Source organism: Homo sapiens, chromosome 13, assembly GCF_000001405.40.
Source record: "Homo sapiens chromosome 13, GRCh38.p14 Primary Assembly".
NCBI lineage: Eukaryota > Metazoa > Chordata > Mammalia > Primates > Hominidae > Homo > Homo sapiens.
In genome coordinates, this window is record NC_000013.11 from 46,672,694 (window position 1) to 46,690,085 (window position 17,392).

General features: G+C 39.1%; 1 protein-coding gene across 5 annotated transcripts in view; it reads left to right on the top strand.

The window, feature by feature from the left end:
• The window catches only part of LRCH1 (leucine rich repeats and calponin homology domain containing 1), a 199,872-nt gene that overhangs the window by 119,524 nt on the left and 62,956 nt on the right, over positions 1 to 17,392 (top strand). For all 5 annotated transcript variants that reach the window (XM_017020483.2, NM_001164213.2, NM_001164211.2 and 2 more), the window contains exons 4-7: positions 9,048 to 9,153; positions 13,212 to 13,348; positions 15,159 to 15,286; positions 16,440 to 16,503. In XM_017020483.2, coding sequence (XP_016875972.1) covers positions 9,048 to 9,153; positions 13,212 to 13,348; positions 15,159 to 15,286; positions 16,440 to 16,503 — 435 coding nt within the window. The remainder of the gene's footprint in view (positions 1 to 9,047; positions 9,154 to 13,211; positions 13,349 to 15,158; positions 15,287 to 16,439; positions 16,504 to 17,392) is intronic.

Below are 17,392 nucleotides of genomic sequence, written 5' to 3' on the forward strand. Positions count from 1 at the left end.
CCCAGCTCTAACGAGGGCTGCCCTGCATTACAGGACTGTCTTCACCTGGTTCTTGTGTCTTTTCTCCACCAGCAATAACTGCTGAACCCACAGGTTCTAGGATCTTAGAGTGATAGGGGATTGTAAAAGGCATTTAGTCCAAACTCTTGACATCTTACGAATGAAGAAACCCGAGGCAGAAAGCCAGTGCATGACATACGGAAGGTCACCCCTGTGTAGCTAAATTGTAACATAAGCTGAAACACCCTCACCCAGCGCAGTCCTGTGGAAATATAATGTAAGCAGTAAATGTGATTTTTAAAGTACTGGTAGATACATAGCCAAGTAAGAAGCAAGTGAAATTAATTGTAATAATATTTATTTAACCTGAAATAGCCAAAACGTTATTACTTCGTCACCTGTATAATATAAAAAATATTAATGAGATATTTTAGGTGCTTTTTTTTCATGCTAAGTCTTTGAAATCCTGTGTGTATGTAACTCTGAAAGTGCATCACAGGTTGGACTGGCCACATTTCTGGTGTTCAGTGGCCACCCTCCTGGATTCGGCAGCTCCGTCACCTGTGTTCTTTCCGTTCCCTGCCCCTGTGTATGAGCAAGCGTGATCTTTGGAAAAGCATTTACTTATGAAGTTGGCAAAAATTTAATAAGTGGTCATTATTTAACCACAAAGAGGGACTGGCCTTGCTTAAGGTCACGGTCTAAAAAAAAGATTATTTTCCATCCATTCTCACTTATCTTTCATCTTTTTGCTTAAAATAGTAGTGTTACTATAGGTAACCATATCATTATTTTTAGCTATCAATTGGAAAAAAAAATTCCCTGGAGGGCCAGAAGTAATTCTAGAATTGCCGTGGGAGGCTTCTGTTTTGTAGTCACGAAGTAACCAACTTATTATAAGATTTGGGAGCACCCCAAGCATTCAGAATACTTGAAGCCCTTTAGCGCCGAGACAGTGTCTCAGCTTATTAGGCTCTAAGCATTGTTTGTTAACTATTTTAGAAGAAATATTTTTAAATTGTTCACATTAGACTCAGAGTATTCCAAATGGAATTTTTTTTTTTTTTTTTTTTTTTTTTGAGACAGAGTCTTGCTCTGTCACCCAGGCTGGAGTGCAGCGGCTGTCGCCGAGGCTAGAGTGCAGCGGCACAATCTCTGCTCACTGCAGGCTCCGCCTCCCAGGTTCAAGCAATTCTCCTGCCTCAGCCTCCCAACTAGCTGGGACTACAGGCACGTACCACTGCACCCAGCTAACATTTTGTATTTTTAGTAGAGATGGGGTTTCACTGTGTTGGCCAGGCTGCTGTCGAACTCCTGACCTCAAGTGATCCACCCACCTTGGCCTCCCAAAGTGCTGGGATTACAGGCATGAGCCACCATGCTTGGTCAGAATTGTGAACTCTCTTTTTTTCTAAGTGTGAGTGAACATTCCAGAGTCAGCAATCCCTTAAAAAAATAAATAAATAAAATAAAAAAACTTTAGCCATCTACAACAAAGCAGTTGTCCTTTCTAATTTGTGAAAGGAATTGGAGTTGGAAAATGGTATCTTATCTTTCTAAATACATTAGAATTATATAAGATCTTTTTTTAATGCATTCCCATTCAGTCACTGCCTTGTCCTGCCATTTGAGACTGTGCAGGGAATGTCGAAAAGCAGTTGTTCCCCCTCCCATGAGGAAGCCACAAAGAGACACTACTGAGATGTCCTTTTCTTGACTCAACAAGAGCAGCCAGGTTGTATTTCCACATTGTTGCAGGTGCAGGAAAACTTATGGAATCTTAGCTCCATGGAGCTGGCCCCTCCAGGGTCATTTCAGATGGGAATGATCTGAAACTTTCTGACCTTCCTGGCTGCTCTGAATGACTTCTATGTGCTCTGTTGCCTCACTGCTGTAGCAGTATGGATATGTTGCTTTGTACGTCTATCTGCCTGTGCTTTCTATAAGGGGAAGAGATAAAGCATTCACATTTACTGAGCACCTGCTATATACCAGGCACTCTGCTAGGTATACATGTATTATTTCATATAGTCTTGAAAATAAGCTAGCAAGGTAGGTATCATGTTTATATTTTACAAATAAGTTTCAATTTTAGAATTACTTAGCCAAAGCCACAAGGATATGAAGAGGTAGAGCTGGAGTCAAAACCAGGTTTTTTAATCAGCGTCCTCACCACAATACAGCACTGTCTCTTCACCGAAACTGTAAGCCCCTCATGGAGTGGGGCTGTGATTTTTCTCCTTGGAGTTCCCTGGTTTAACTCCTAGTGGTTTTTCCATTAAAGTTGTGGGAGGAAAATGTTACAAAAAAAAAGGTTTGGTACAAATGGTCAATGTCTCACTAATGTTTTGTTACTGTGGAACCAAGAGTCAGGGAAGGGATCTGTAGACTTGTGTTGGCTAAATCTCATTTTACTCATTAAAACCTTGTTAACATATTGGAAACATGGTTCTTTTACTGCTAAACCATGCCTGATGGATGAGGTATATTTGTTAAGAGATGCTGTATAAATGCCATGTGTTATAATTAACAGGCAGCTGTAAAAACAAACACACTGTTAGAACACAATAAAATTGAGAGCCTTTTATGGGGCATTTGCCAAAGAAGAGTTTTCTCATTGGTTCCCTGTACATGGTGACATGTTGTGGTCCAGAGATGTTTTTTTTTCAATTCTGTCCTCTCTGAAGTCATGCAGTGTGTGAAAATCATGTCTTCTAGCTCTTACCTTCACATAAGAGAACACAGTATCTCTGATTTAAAACCTGCTTTTCTAATCAAAAATCTCACAAGGCCTGGCTCAAGTAACGACTTGTTGGAAGGTGCATTTCCTGGCCTTGATTGGATATGCTATTTTTTATTCTTTTTTCATGAAATGTTTGGTTGTGTGGAGAGTTTGGATTCAAAGATTGATTATTGAGCAGCTGCTGAGGAAAATCCCTTCTTCATTATTTGCTTGGGTAGCGTTCCAATCTCTGAGGGAGATAACAGCGGAGGCATAAATTCACGTGCTCGCCATGCTGTTTGTCCATTCATTGTCTCTGGAGGCGCCTCCTAACCTCTGGTTTCTGTGGGATGATTGGAAACCCAGGGCTTGCGCAAGGCCCTCTGTGCTTCCATTTCTGCCTTTCTTCTGAAGAGCAGTGGGGTAGGCCGTGTGTTTGTAAACTTAGGAGAACTGTGCAACAGAGTTTTGCTCTGGAAAAAGACACTGGTGTTGAAAGGTGATAATTTGTCATCCCAGAGCTTTCTTGAGAAAGTTTCAAGTTTAAATGAACATATTTTCTTTTTAAGACAGCGAGTTCTGGCCGGGTGCGGTGGCTCATGCCTGTAATCCCAGCACTTTGGGAGGCCGAGGTCAGGAGTTCGAGACCAGCCTGACCAACATGGTGAAACCCTGTCTCTACTAAAAATACAAAAATTAGCCAGGCATGGTGGCATGCACCTGTAATCTCAGCTACACAGCAGGCTGAGGGAGGAGAATCGCTTGAACCTGGGAGGTGGAGGTTGCAGCAAGCCGAGATTGCGCCACCGCACTCCAGCCTGGGTGACAGAGACTCCGTCTCGGTGGGGTGGGGGGAAAGACAGCAAGTTCTGACCACAAGCATTGAGGGTTTTTGACTGTTAAGAAATCAAAATTGACATTTCCCGGTTAGTTACATACCTGTGTTTCAACCAAAATCATTTCATTATCTCTGATGTAGCAAATGGACTTTCCTCATATTGGAGGATAATTAGAATTATTTAATCCTTACCTGTTCTTTTGATAGAGACACAGAAAGGGTAAGACATTTACCTAAAGTTACACAGTGAGTCATACAAAATGCACTTCCACAAAAGGGCATGGCTACGTGATAGGAGGCTACTATTAGTAGCTTGCAGTTCCTGTCAGAACGTTTGCATTTTATTCAATTAAATAAAGAGCTAGATTCTTACAAAAATACATCTCAAGCAGTATTACCATAAACCTAAGTGTCAGAGCAAGGTCACGTGTACAAATACTACCTGCAGTTCCAGTGTGTGTCCTGGTCTTACTGGAATTATTCTGTAACCAAGATCATCTTGACACAGTATTTATATTGTTTTTCTTTTTTCTTTTTGTTTTGAGACAGGGTCTTACTGTGTCACTCAGGCTGGAATGCAGTGCCATGGTCACAGCTCACTGCAGCCTTGACCTCTCGGGCTCAAGCAATCCTCCCACCTTAGCCTCCCGAGTAGCTGAAACCACGGGTGCATGCCACCATGCCCGACTAATTTTTTAAGTCTTTTTGTAGAGTCAGGGTTTCCTAATGTTCTCTAGGCTGGTCTAAAACTCCAGAGCTCAAGCGATCTGCCCACCTTGGCCTTCCAAAGTGCTGGGAATATAGGCATGAAACATCGTGCCCGGCCTATGTTGGTTTTCACTAGACATCATTCCTTAAAAAAATACTTCTAGTCAGCCGGGCACGGTGGCTCACGCCTGTAATTCCAACACTTTGGGAGGCCAAAGCGGGTGGATCACCTGAGGTCAGGAGTTCGAGACCAGCCTGGCCAACATGGTGAAACCTCGTCTCTACTAAAAATACAAAAAAAAAAAAAAAAAAAAAAAGTTAGCCATGTGTGGTGGCACACACCTGTAATCTCAGCTACCTGGGAGACTGAGGCGGGAGAATCGCTTGAACCTGGGCGGCAGAGGTTTGCAGTGAGCCAAGATCGCGCCATCGCACTCCAATCTGGGCGACAGAGCGAGACAATGTCTCAAAACAAAACAAAACAAAAAAAACTTCTAGTCTCTTTTACCATATTGCTTTCTGAAAGTGAGTATAACCTAGTTTAATAATCCCTGAATTTATTCTCCGAATTTAAATCCTTGTTATTTTTGCATTCTGAAGGTCAGTTAGCAACGAGCACTTAGTAACAAAAATATATTAAACTCCAACATGGTTTTAATACTTCTAGAGACTCTTTTTATTGTGATGAGGAGAGAATCTTATTTCTAAAGTTTTTCTTTTGGTTACCTAAAAACATGATGACCAGTGGAAAGTAAGTATGTGTTAAGTCACAGTTCAAATTCTCTATTTTGTTTTTTATCTAAATGACAAAGTTGGACTGACTGGTCTATAAAAAACTTAAACTTGAGTATTTATATTACTATAATTAGATTCGTTTCTATCAAAAAGAATAAATTCAGTAAATATTTATAACATGCTCATGATTCTTTCTGATCTGCCTGTGTATTTGTGGTATTATAGTACTAACTATAGGGTGCTATGATTTCACTGAAGTTTGGAATCATTCTCTAAGACATAGCTTAGGGCTAATAGAAAATTCAGAAGGGATTCATTTGACTATTTTAATAAATAACTGAATATGGAATTTATAAGCTGATAAATTCTTACTAATTGCCGAAGTTGAGGCATTAGTGTTGTTTTTATTTACATTCATTTTCCTAAATCGTATCTTCTTTAAATCAGTCTGTAAAATTCATACCTTATCTTAGGCTGAATTTGAACAAAAGTGTTCTAGAGAACAAGGCCATTCTAGAAATATTGCTTTTACATTTTCAAAACAGGAGTATTTTATCCCCAAACACCTAGACTATTATCTCCTGTTTCTTTCTCCTTAACCCCCAGCTAATTCAGATAGTGACCCATGGGGTTTTATTTTTGTGATGAATTTATAACCTTTTTAAAACGTGGCAAGTTTCAATGCCTTGTGGGAATAGAGTTTTGCACTATTTCTACAATATTGATTACACAGTAGTGAAATGTTATCTTATGTGCTAAATCTGCTTGGGCGTTTTCCCCCCATTATTTGTCAGGACAGGAAGTAATTGACAACAGTGCAGAGTACTATTAAAATAATTTGACCTTCACCATATACCCTCCAAAATGTGAATGGACAATTGGACTTTGTGTTTTGAATTGTCTACAGATATCCTGTCCTCTAAATCAGAAGGAAAAAAACTTGTATTTATCGTTACAGGAAGTTTTTTAAAGTAAATTGACCATTTTCCCTACTGCCAAATAAGTTTTCAAATATCGCTAGGGGGAGTTGATTTTTTAATAAGGCTATTATGTTAGAAACATACGATGGAAAAAAATCACCTTATGATTAGAGAAACAGCATATTTTGATTTCCTAGCTAACTCAACCATGACCAGCAAAGAGCAAGGTGAGTATAGTTCACACTAAAAAATGGAATAAGGCTTAGTTTCATCTCATGCTGTGAATAACGTGCTACCTAAATGTATCTGTTATCTTTTTGCTTTCCTCTCCTCCTTCCTTATTTATTCAGAGAAAGATTTTTAAAAAATTATGTCTTTGAAGCTTCTGGAAATTGTCAGTTTCATATTGAAAATCTGTGATTTCCATAATTTATATAAGGATCTTTCTCGTGCTGTCACTCACAAGACTGAAAAAACTTGTTTTAGATGCCAATAACGTCCATTTTCTCTAGAGATGGCAAATAATTCCTTCTAATTCTTCCCCACGAGCACGCCCATTTCTCCTGCCAACAACATCACCCAAGTGACTGTATCTGGTCATGAGTTCCATAGAAGGATTTGATTTCCTGCATTTCTAGGACTCACCTGTGTGGTATTTGTGTGAGGACTCTTTTAAAATAGGATGGAATGGCACCTTTTGCTTATTTGTAACTTAGTTAAGGCAAAGAAAGCTTTCATTGAAAGCATTTGATTGTTGGCTCTTGTGACTGAGCAAAGGCCCCCGTAATTGGGAAAAGATGGCATTTCACTGTTCTCTTCTCCCATGTGGAAATACATTCGGAAAGGCAGGGCAATTTACTGACTCAGCGAGGGGCTGAGAGTGACTGAACACGATCTCTGGACCTCCTAATTCTGTAATTACTTCCTTTGACGTTTTTGTCTCTGCAGATGTGCTTGTGGAGTTTGTTTCTGTTTTTGTTTTAAACACTGGAAGTGTTTTTCTCAAACTTGTGTGTGACTTTTCTGGGCCAGGAGGGATAGAGCAACCGCAGTTGGGGGTGATGCTGCTGAACACCCGGTGCTCTCAGCCCGTGCCACCCCACCTCCCCCATCAGACAGCTGTACAGAGAAGCTTGGGGAGGTATCTGCACTGTGCACACTCAGCCTTTATAGAGGACAACTTCATTCCTTTTTAGCAAGAGTGATACTGTTCCTCTTCATCGGGTGGTATCCATTGAGCACTGTCCTGGTGAGGACAGGTTGATAGATCACCTGAAGCCTTTTAGATGAGACCAGGTTAGAGGGCAGGGATCAACTGTGTTGTGTACAGCCTGGTCTAAATGTGGAGCCTGGGGGTGTTCACTGGATTGGTCGATGATGAGTTCATCTTATTTGAATGAAAGTGAAACAGATTTCTGAAACGAGGCTCTGCTGCCTTCTATGGTGAAAGGGGAGAGCTTTTCCAGGTTCAAAAGTAAAGCGGGATATTTAAGGCCTTGATCTCACTGGAATCATTTGTATCTTTAGTTCTGTGATGCCAAGTGGGACCTGCATGGGATTTGGTATGTATGTTGGAGCATCCTGGGTCCTAGGGTCCTGGAGACAGAAGGAGCCACAGTATTATGGAGTGTCACTGTAAGTGGATTTTAGAAGTTTGATCCAACATTTATTGATCCCTTACTTTATACTTGGCACTCCACCTGGCAGTGGGAGGATGGAATGAATAAGACATGGTCCCTCCCACCCAGGAGCTCATAGGTTTAAAGGGGAATGTAAACCCATGAGCAAATGACTTACAGTGACATGCTATCTAAAGGACCACACAAGAAGAAGTGGTCAGTCTCCCTGGGCATTAGATCAGAGTGGGAGAGGTGGGGGAAGCCTCGTGAAAGATTTCACGAAAGAGGTTGAGGCTTGAATTAAGTCTTTAAAAATGAGTCAGTGGGACAAGAGGACAATATTGGGGACTGGCATATCAGGCAGGGAAGGAGCATGAACAAGTTTGGGAATTATGAAATACTGAAAACTGCCAGAAGCAGTAACATGGCTGGAGTGTAGGTTGTGAGGAGGGACATTCAGAGAAAAAGTGCTGGAGAAATGGACAGACCTCATCATAGATACTGGCCTTACTGCCCAGTTTGGACTTTATAGTTGTTGAGGAGCCTCTGCAAGTGTTTAAGCTGGTGAACAGCATGATGGCATTTGCACTCTGGCCGCTCTGTGAAGGATGCATCCAAGGCGGAGACTGATGTATGGAAACCAGTCAGGAGATCATGATAGCACCCAGCTAAGAGAGAGCACTGGTCTACACTGCAGGAGTAGCTGGGGGTGTGTGGGGGAGTGAAGAGCCCAGCACGGCTCCCAGAGCCAAGAGGAAGAGTGGGATTCAGGGAGATCCTAAGGATATAGAAGATTATAAATGTCAAGGCCTCCATTTCTCATGTGTCAAGAGGGGATTCCAATCAAGGCTTAATTGAGTATTTGCTTCCTAAAGCAAAGAAGACAAGAATTGCTTGTGAAGTGTATGGCAAGGTGGTCAGCTGTAAGATTTCTAGCCTGTGGTGAAGAACTCCATTTTAAATAAATAGTGCATCCAAACATTGCATTAATATTCTAGTTCTTCACTGCAAAATGTGAGAGTTTGGTAAAATAAGATGCATTGTAGTCTTGTTTAGAGGCACGATGGGATAGTGGCTAAACGGTGAGCTGGTAATTCATTTCTAGTGTTAACTCTGGCACTTGCATGCTTTGGGCGACTGGCTAAACTTTTCTGAGCCCCACTTTTTGATTTGTAAATATTAGGCTAGCAATATTGCCCAATGGGTTTGTGGTGAGAATTCAGTAAAATCGAAGCATGTCAAAGTGGCAGGCCAGAGGCTGGTGAAGCAGCTGGCGAATGCTACTAATGTCCACCCTTTCTCCATTTTTCTCTCCTGTGAGGGAGTTTAAAATGTTCAGCTTTCTCTTCTCTGTGCTGAGTCTTAATGCTAGGGACCTGGAGATGAATATAAAAGTGTACCTGTGTAGTTGTCCAAATATTTAAATTCCTTAAGGAGATTTCACATGAAATGCTTGATTTCCTGGAAAAAGATGTTTATTATTTCTCTCTCTGCTTTTGATACAGGATGTCAGCTGCAACGAGATCACAGCGTTGCCCCAGCAGATAGGTCAGTTGAAATCTCTACGAGAACTGAATGTCAGAAGAAATTACCTTAAAGTTTTACCACAAGGTAAAAAAGAAAGAGGGAAAATGAAGAAAATGGGAGACTTGCATTATTTTATGTTTTGGGGGGTTTACTTTTGTGAAGAGGGTCGATCTTTGTGTGTGTGTGTGTGTGTGTGTGTGTGTGCCTACTACTTAATTAGGATTTGAATTTCACATACAGATAACAAAAAAGTGATGTTCAGGCTGTGATTCTAGTCAAGGGCTACAGCAACAAAATCATTCCCCTAGGTAATGCTGTGGGGCACGGGGGTGGACGTGGGTGTGTTAGTTTGCTGGGGCTACTATAACAAAGAACCACAGATGGGGTGCTTAAATAACAGAACTTCATCTTCTCACAATTTTGGAGGCTGGATGCCTGGGATCAAGGTGCCAGCAGGGTTGGTTCCCTCTGAGGCCTCTCAGCTTGGCTTGTGGGTGGCATCTTCTCCTCCCTGGGTCTTCTCGTCATCTCCCCTCTGCACATGTCTGTGTCCTAATCTCCTCTTCTTACAAGGACACCAAGGATTAGAGCTGCCCTCATGACCTCATTTTAATTAACTTAATTACCCTTTTAAAGACCCTATTTCCAAATACAGTCACATTCTGAGGTAATAGAGGTTAGGACTTCAATATATGAATTTTGGAAGGACTCAAGCCAGCCCGTCACAAGGGGTGACATGAATTGTTTTGGGTATGGGTATGTGACGTTTTGGAACGTGAAATTTCGGGGACATACTTTGTTCTACAGATCCTGTCTGTCAGGATTTCTAGCCTTGGGGATCTGGGAGCACTGGTTGGGAACTCCCAGTGTCTAGAATCTGTTCTGAGGTGAGGGTGCTGCCTCTGCTGGAGTGATACTTGGACTAATGTCTCACTGGTGGTCTTGGTAAGTTTCACCAGTGGTGACAGCAGAACCTCAGCATTGAGACATGGCTCCCAACCATCCAGCATGAATGCCAAGACCTCAGACAGCCCTGCTTTGCAGCCATGGGCTTCCATAGCATGTCTGTCCAGTAGTGTGTTGAGTTCAAGGCAGATATGTATATTTATTCAGAAACTGCATACCATTTAGAGCATGAAAGCAGCCTCATAGGGGGTAGTGGATCTGCATTTGGTGTTTGGGTTTGGACCTGGATCAGGAATGAACGGATGAGTCCTGGAACCCTGAATGCTTTCTCCAAAGCATACTCTGGTTTTCAGAGATTACATTGATTTCCACTGTTTTTGTTTAAAGTCTCTAGACATAGCTGATTTCAAACATATATTTAAAAATATTTCTCAAAGCAAAACCCTGTAGTACTTGGAAACAGTCAGCATTTGGTTAATCTGACATTAATGGAACAATTTATGGATGCCTGATTTTAATTATCCTGTCTCTGCATCTTGATCTTTGGCTTGAAATGCTTCATAATAAGGCAAGAAAATGGAGCTCATGAAAGGGAAAGAACTTTGCAAAAGGTAATGTGCTTTATAGATGGGAGGTTCAAGTCCGCTTGCCATCTTTCACCTTTCTCATACTGACTAGCATTTTAGAGAAGCAGAGTTAGAAACTCAACATTTTTTACTTCAGTACTTGAGATGACTTGGTTGAAAAATATTGATTGATTTTTCAATTTGTCCTTGTACAATCTCATTTTTTGGATATACAAAACTTGTATTTGGTTTAAGCAAGCACAAAAGGAAAGCTTATTAACAGCAAATTTATATGCATACAACCTTTTATGAGTTAAAGAAAACTTTCATTTAAACTTAAGCTCTCATGTTAATCATTGTGAAAATGTCCTAAATAATTGAACTCTCATTTTCAAAAGGAAAAATTAATTTGATCATTTTGCAATTGCCTGTCATAGTCTGGAAACATGTGGAAAGTATATTCACAAAATCTAGATTTTTGTCTCTCTCTGGTTCCTCATTTTCTTACCTTAAAAGCATTCCTTTCCCTTAAAAAGATCAGTTATTCCATAATTATGTTTTCTCAGTTTTGATATTTTAAGAATATACTCAAAGCTAAAACTTCAGTTTACTGGAAATTTCTTAAAAAAATAACTTCCTCAATATCAAGTTCCTTTTTGCTTCCCTCTGGAGAACTCTATTGACAAAAGACCATTGAAAATACTTTCAGTCAGTGACTGTAAAGACTTTCCCTATTTACTTATATGTTTTTCCTCTTTGGATACCCCTCCTCGTATGCTTTCAATTTGAGGATGAAAAAAGAAAACACCAAAATTGTGGTCTGATTACTCATATCAGTTTTGTGGTGGTTTTACTACAACAACTGCAATAAGAAGACCATATTTTATTCTTTCTAGGACTAGAATGAAGAGGGGATTAAAATAGCCATTCATTGCCTCTCTTAGCAGTGGGGAGAGAGAGTGGGATTTGTTCTTCTGCTTCTTTTTTTTCTTACTCCCTTTCTCTACTCCACTTTTTTTTTTACCTTTCCTGGGCTGGTGTTGCAAAATTATCATTTTCTCCTTCGTTTTATTGTTGTGAAACTGTCTGGTTCCTGTTTTCCTGAACTATGATGGCAATTGTGTCCCAAACTGGAACTAGAAAAGAAATGGTCATTATAAAACCTTCACTTATTTTATTTACCTGTAAGTTTTCTCCTGCTATGTTTTCCATGAACTTAGCCCTCTAGTCTTGCTTTGAAGTCTTCATTTTAAGTGGCAAAGAATTGCTAAAGATCCAGAGTCCAGTTAAATTTTTCCAGTGATTTGCTAAGCTAACTTTAATTAACCATCTCGGAGATAGGTTGATATTGCTAGGGGAAACAGCTAGGAGGTGTTCCTCTTATCATGGAATCTTCATAATTCTTATCATCTTACAAACAAGCTGTGAGGTGAAAGGGGATCTTGCTTTTCCTATTGTTTCACTTTCATGATTCCAGGGTCCTCCAGGATTAGTGTGGCCTGAGGTCAATCCCTTATCCTGCCAGAGGGGAGACAAGCTGGGTTGAGCAATGAACTAACTACTCAGGGCAATTTAAAAAACACAGTCCCTTACATTCCCAGAGTGCCTTGAATTCTGAGAGAGGTACTGGTTACTAGAATCTTTTCCTGCTGGAATTTGACATAACGTAGCTGAGTAAAGTGAAGACTGAAGAGCAGTGTAGGGGTAGAGGAGAAATAGTGTGAATTTTTACTCCAGGTCAGTGTCTTCAGTTACTCTTCTTTGTCTAATTCTTGCCCTTCGTCCACTTTAGAATTCCTTGAGTGTTTTAAAGCGCAATATTCCATCCCTTAACAGATCCCATAACAAAAGTTCCGAGGCCTCGTTCTGGAGTGAACCCTTCATAGCCCCTCACACAGAGATCTCAGTGGCTTGCCTGCATCACCCTAGATGTCTGGCGTGGCCCAGCCTCTCTGCTCTATGGAATATATTTGACTTTATTCCTAGCAGCTGCCAGTGTCGTTTTGAATGCTTGAAATTACTTAGTGTCTACTGTGCCACTGGGTGGGGATTTTAAGCTAAATGTAATGTTCTGTCTTCTGAGTGGAGCTACAGAAGACTTTTTAAAAGCTGTAGAATAAAGTCTCATCATACCAGAATTACAGGGCCTGTCGGAAAATTCTGAATTGGATAACATTTATTTTTTAAAATGCAGTTGAAAAACTCATGAATATATTTAGTGTAGCTAGTTCTGGGATAATGCCAGCCCAAATACATTGATTAGATAAGAATATTCTGTAATTAACGTATTACTCATGGGCTAGCGAGTGCTACTGGGAAACAGTTTGAAGTTAAAACATAAACATGTCCTGTGTGATGTGGCTTGCGTGATTCTTTTGCTGAAAAAAAAAAGTATTTTTAAACAATAGATATTGTAAATGTTAAGTGTTTCCAGTTTTTATCAGAACTAACAACAATTTAAAACTTTGGGGCATGCAATAAAAGATTTTCCCTCTTTTGGTAAAATGTTATGTACACACACCATGTATTCCTAATGTACAACTTGCCTTTGATTATACTCAATTGTATTTTTCCTGAGAAGCAGAACATTAATTTTTGAATGATTAGCCATTTAATCTTATTGATTTCTAAGGTTTTTTCTTTCTTTTTTTCTTTTTTCTATTATTTTAGAACTAGTAGATCTTTCCTTGGTAAAGTTTGACTTTTCCTGCAACAAAGTGCTCGTGATTCCAATTTGTTTTAGAGAGATGAAGCAGCTGCAAGTGTTACTACTTGAGAATAACCCTCTGCAGTCTCCTCCAGCACAGGTGAGGGGTCTTGCAGCAAAGCCAATGCCCCATGGGATGTGCTGTTATAGGAGCCAAGGGAAAATTTCCCCTTCACCCTCTGAAAGTTTGCTGAAAATCACTAATCACTGGCAAGCGGCAGATTAATTGGAGAAAAGGCATCAAAATTTATTAACATGTACGTGGAAGCCTCCAGAGTGAAGACCCAAAGATACAGGGGAAATTGTCCATTTTTATGCTTACAAAGTATGGACAGCCATGTAGAAATATGATTGGACAAAAAGAGTATGATCTCATGTTAATAGACTGAGTGAGGAAACCCAGCAGGGCCTGTTTGTCTGGATTCTTCTTGGGCTCTCTGAGGATCATTCCTTCCTTCTGGGCGTGGGGCAGGACCCTCTTTGCGATGGGGGGTCTTATGGCCTACTGTCAAACAAGAGAAGTCAGATCATTTCTTTATGGCCAGTTTTTACACAGAAAGGCCGAGGGAAAGTTCCAGTAATATTTTGAGGTTTTAAAGGGGTTTTGGTTTCTATGACCAGCTTTGGGGAAGATTCAAATTTGTAAGGCTCCCTTCCTTGGGAGAATGGGACCGAGGGGCAGGAGGGCAGGAGAGGTCAGAGAAAAACTTTTGCTTCTGAGACCTTCATTTTGGGGTATTGTTTTCTGATTCCCAATGCTATCAATCATGCTTAAGCAACTCTCCAAAGGCCAGTTTTCTGATTCTCTGCTGAAGAGAATAATACTGAATAAAACTTGATTATAAACAGTCACAGTGAACCCTTGAGTGAATGTGAGAAACAATAAATTGTCTTCCATTGCATCAAATCCATTCACCAGCACTTGGCTCACTATGCTAATCACTCCAACTCCAGAATTAAATGTCTTATTATTTATCATTTTATTTGAATTTGTTTCATGGAGTATATTGATTTTTTTTTTTTTTTTTTTTTTTTGAGACAGAGTCTCGCTCTGTCGCCCAGGCTGGAGTGCAGAGGTGTGATCTTGGCTTACTGCAGCCTCTGCCTCCCAGGATCAAGTGATTCTCCTGCCTCAGCCTCCTGAGTAGCTGGGACTACAGGCGCCTGCCACCACACCTGGATAGTTTTTGTATTTTTAGTAGAGACGAGATTTCACCATGTTGGCCAGGCTGCTCTCTAATTCCTGACCCCCAGGGATCTGCCCGCCTTGGCCTCCCAAAATACTGGTATTACAGGCGTGAGCCACTGCTCCCAACCATATATTCCTTATTTGAATGTTAGCTGGAAAATGGAATTTAAACACCTTAAAACATGGTTATTGATTATTTAGAGACAAGTCTCCAGCTCAAATGTTAAACTGCATGAGAGAAAAATGAAGTGCTATGCTTTCAGATGCTTAACCATGTAAATATTTTGAAGTTTATTTTCTTTTTAAATAATTTAACAGCTTCTTAAATCTACAATTATTTTTAGGCTCTGAATTGCTTTCTATCAGCTCGAAAATAATTGTGCTTTTCTCATCTTTTGTAACTGGAATTTCACCAGGCTGGTCATCTGAGTTTATATTTTTTATACTATATATACTTGAATACATTTTTGTTAGAGTTTTATAGTTTAATGCAAGAAAAAATGGGAAATTGCTTAAGCATGATTTTCTATTCAAAGTAGAATTTGGAGGGAATGATTCCCAAAATTCTTACATGTTTTGGAAAGGACGGATTTAGTGTACATTGGTAGGGTGTTACTTAAAATGAAACTGGGAAAATTGAAATATACAGAGTAAGGATTTGATACTTACATTTTGTTTTGTCATTGAAAAATGAATATGATTGCTATTAATTTCTTTGTAGATTTGCACAAAGGGCAAAGTTCACATATTTAAGTATCTGAGCATACAAGCATGCCAGATTAAGACAGCTGACTCCCTTTATCTCCACACCATGGAGAGGCCACATTTACACCAGCACGTGGAAGATGGGTGAGTCATGCCCTCATTCAAAGCCCCAGTTTAAAATTTGCCTAGGCCAAGGCCCTCCAGGTAGCTGACTTCAAAATCTGTTTGTTTTAAGTCACCATGGTATCTGCAGAAAACAAAGCAAAACAGAACAATTTGGTTTAATCACCTAATTTGTATTTAAAACAAGAAGTTGAGAAACTATTGGGATATGAAAGAAAAAACTGCTGCTATTGAGAATATTTTGGTATATCTCAAATATCATCTGTCTCCTAATCAATAATCAGTTCTTCCTGAGTAAATATGTGCATACTTATAAATAAGATCTAGAATACAAATGTGAATATTTTTTACTTATCAAAATAACTATATTGAGCCCAGACATGCCTTTTTAGCAATTATTAATGTTGAATATGCCTCCAGAACAATGTTAAGAAAAAAATGAAGGCTTTATTTTTGGTCTTTTAAAAATGCAGTATGTGTAGTTTTGTCGCCACTTCCTGTTTCAAATGGAAAAGTTAGAACCCTTTCACACATCCTAGAGCTTCTTGTGGCATAAATCAAGCCTTGAGCTTCCAAAAAACAACATTCTCACACTGAACACAGTTATAGAAATGCAGGTTCTTTTTAAGAAGTCTTCACTGCAGAAATCTTTTCCTTCACTTTTTGCTACATAAGTAAATTTAAAATTTTGGACTACTCTAATGTTACTTTTATATAATGCTTAAAATATGTACACTGTTTTATGTACTTAATCCCTGGATAAAAATTTACAGAATTATTGAAAGTAACCACATTTCATAACATAAGGGGTAAAAGCAGTTATGTGGTTTATTAATTTTTTATATGCTAGATGCAGTAAAATAAGAACATTGGTAACTATTTTTAAGAAACACCTTGACATCTAAGAGCAAGCCACTTGATTAGAGCATAAATCCATGAAACCCCGAACACAAAGAATTTTATCTTATCCTGTGTTTAGACTGTGCTACTGTCTGATTTTCATTAGGTCCATGTCTTAATATTCTTTAATACTAGACTGATTTGTTGCCTTATGGTAATAATAAAAATTTGCGTAGCAAAATTATTATTAGAATATAAATTGATGTTTCTTGGTGTGAACTTTGTGATTTTAATCTTTTTTAAATGAATTCAATATTGATGGCATCTATCTCAGCAAGAAGGATTCTGATTCGGGAGTTGGAAGTGATAATGGAGATAAGCGATTATCTGCCACCGAGGTAAAGTTAGTGATCAGATTCTTTTCCTTCTGTACTTCTAGACATATCTACCAGTGTTCATTGAACTCCTTTCTGTTAAAGGGCATCGATTCATTTGTATATTCATGTGATATTCGTAAAAGTGATTTGTATATTCATGTGATTTGAAATCCTCGAAGTGTTATATAAATATTAGCTGTTGTTACTTATTCTGCATCTTTAATATCTTTAATATTTTGTAAATGCCTCAAGAGTGGAGTCTGTATCTTCTCCTCTCCTACACATTATCTAAAATATTATTGAGTGCTCAATAAATATTACAAAATGGCTAAGTAGTACGCAAGTGCCCGTGAAGCACTTTTATACATACGCTTATTTTTCAGTAATAGAGTAATTTAGAAAAACATTGTTATACATATGCGTAAATGTTAAGGAATCAACTGTACATTTTATTTTAATAGTTGATCCACAGGAAATGCATTTATGAGTAGCTATAGTTTTTATAACAATGTTTGTTTTCCTCAGACTCTTAGATTGTGTTCTGTTCTGTTCTGTTCAGTTAATTGGATACAAGTTTGGTTACTTGCAAGCTAACAGGCCTCACACATTAGAACTTCCTATAGTGGTTATAAATCATGCTTTGATAACTGATTTATTATCTCACATGTAGTCTATTAGAGTCCCCAAAATCTAACACTAATGTATCATTAAATGGAGCTTCTTGGCCTCAGGGATCTAGAAAGGAGTGGTAGGAAAAGTATCAGGTGCTCTTCTTTTTTTGAGGGAAGTTACTTTCTGTAGTTACTAAGTTAACATTATAATACTGTGAAATTGCAGTTAATAGGCCAGTCACCCCATCAAAGAAACTCACATTTTTTTCTATGTATGACTCCAGGAAAAAAACCTTTCT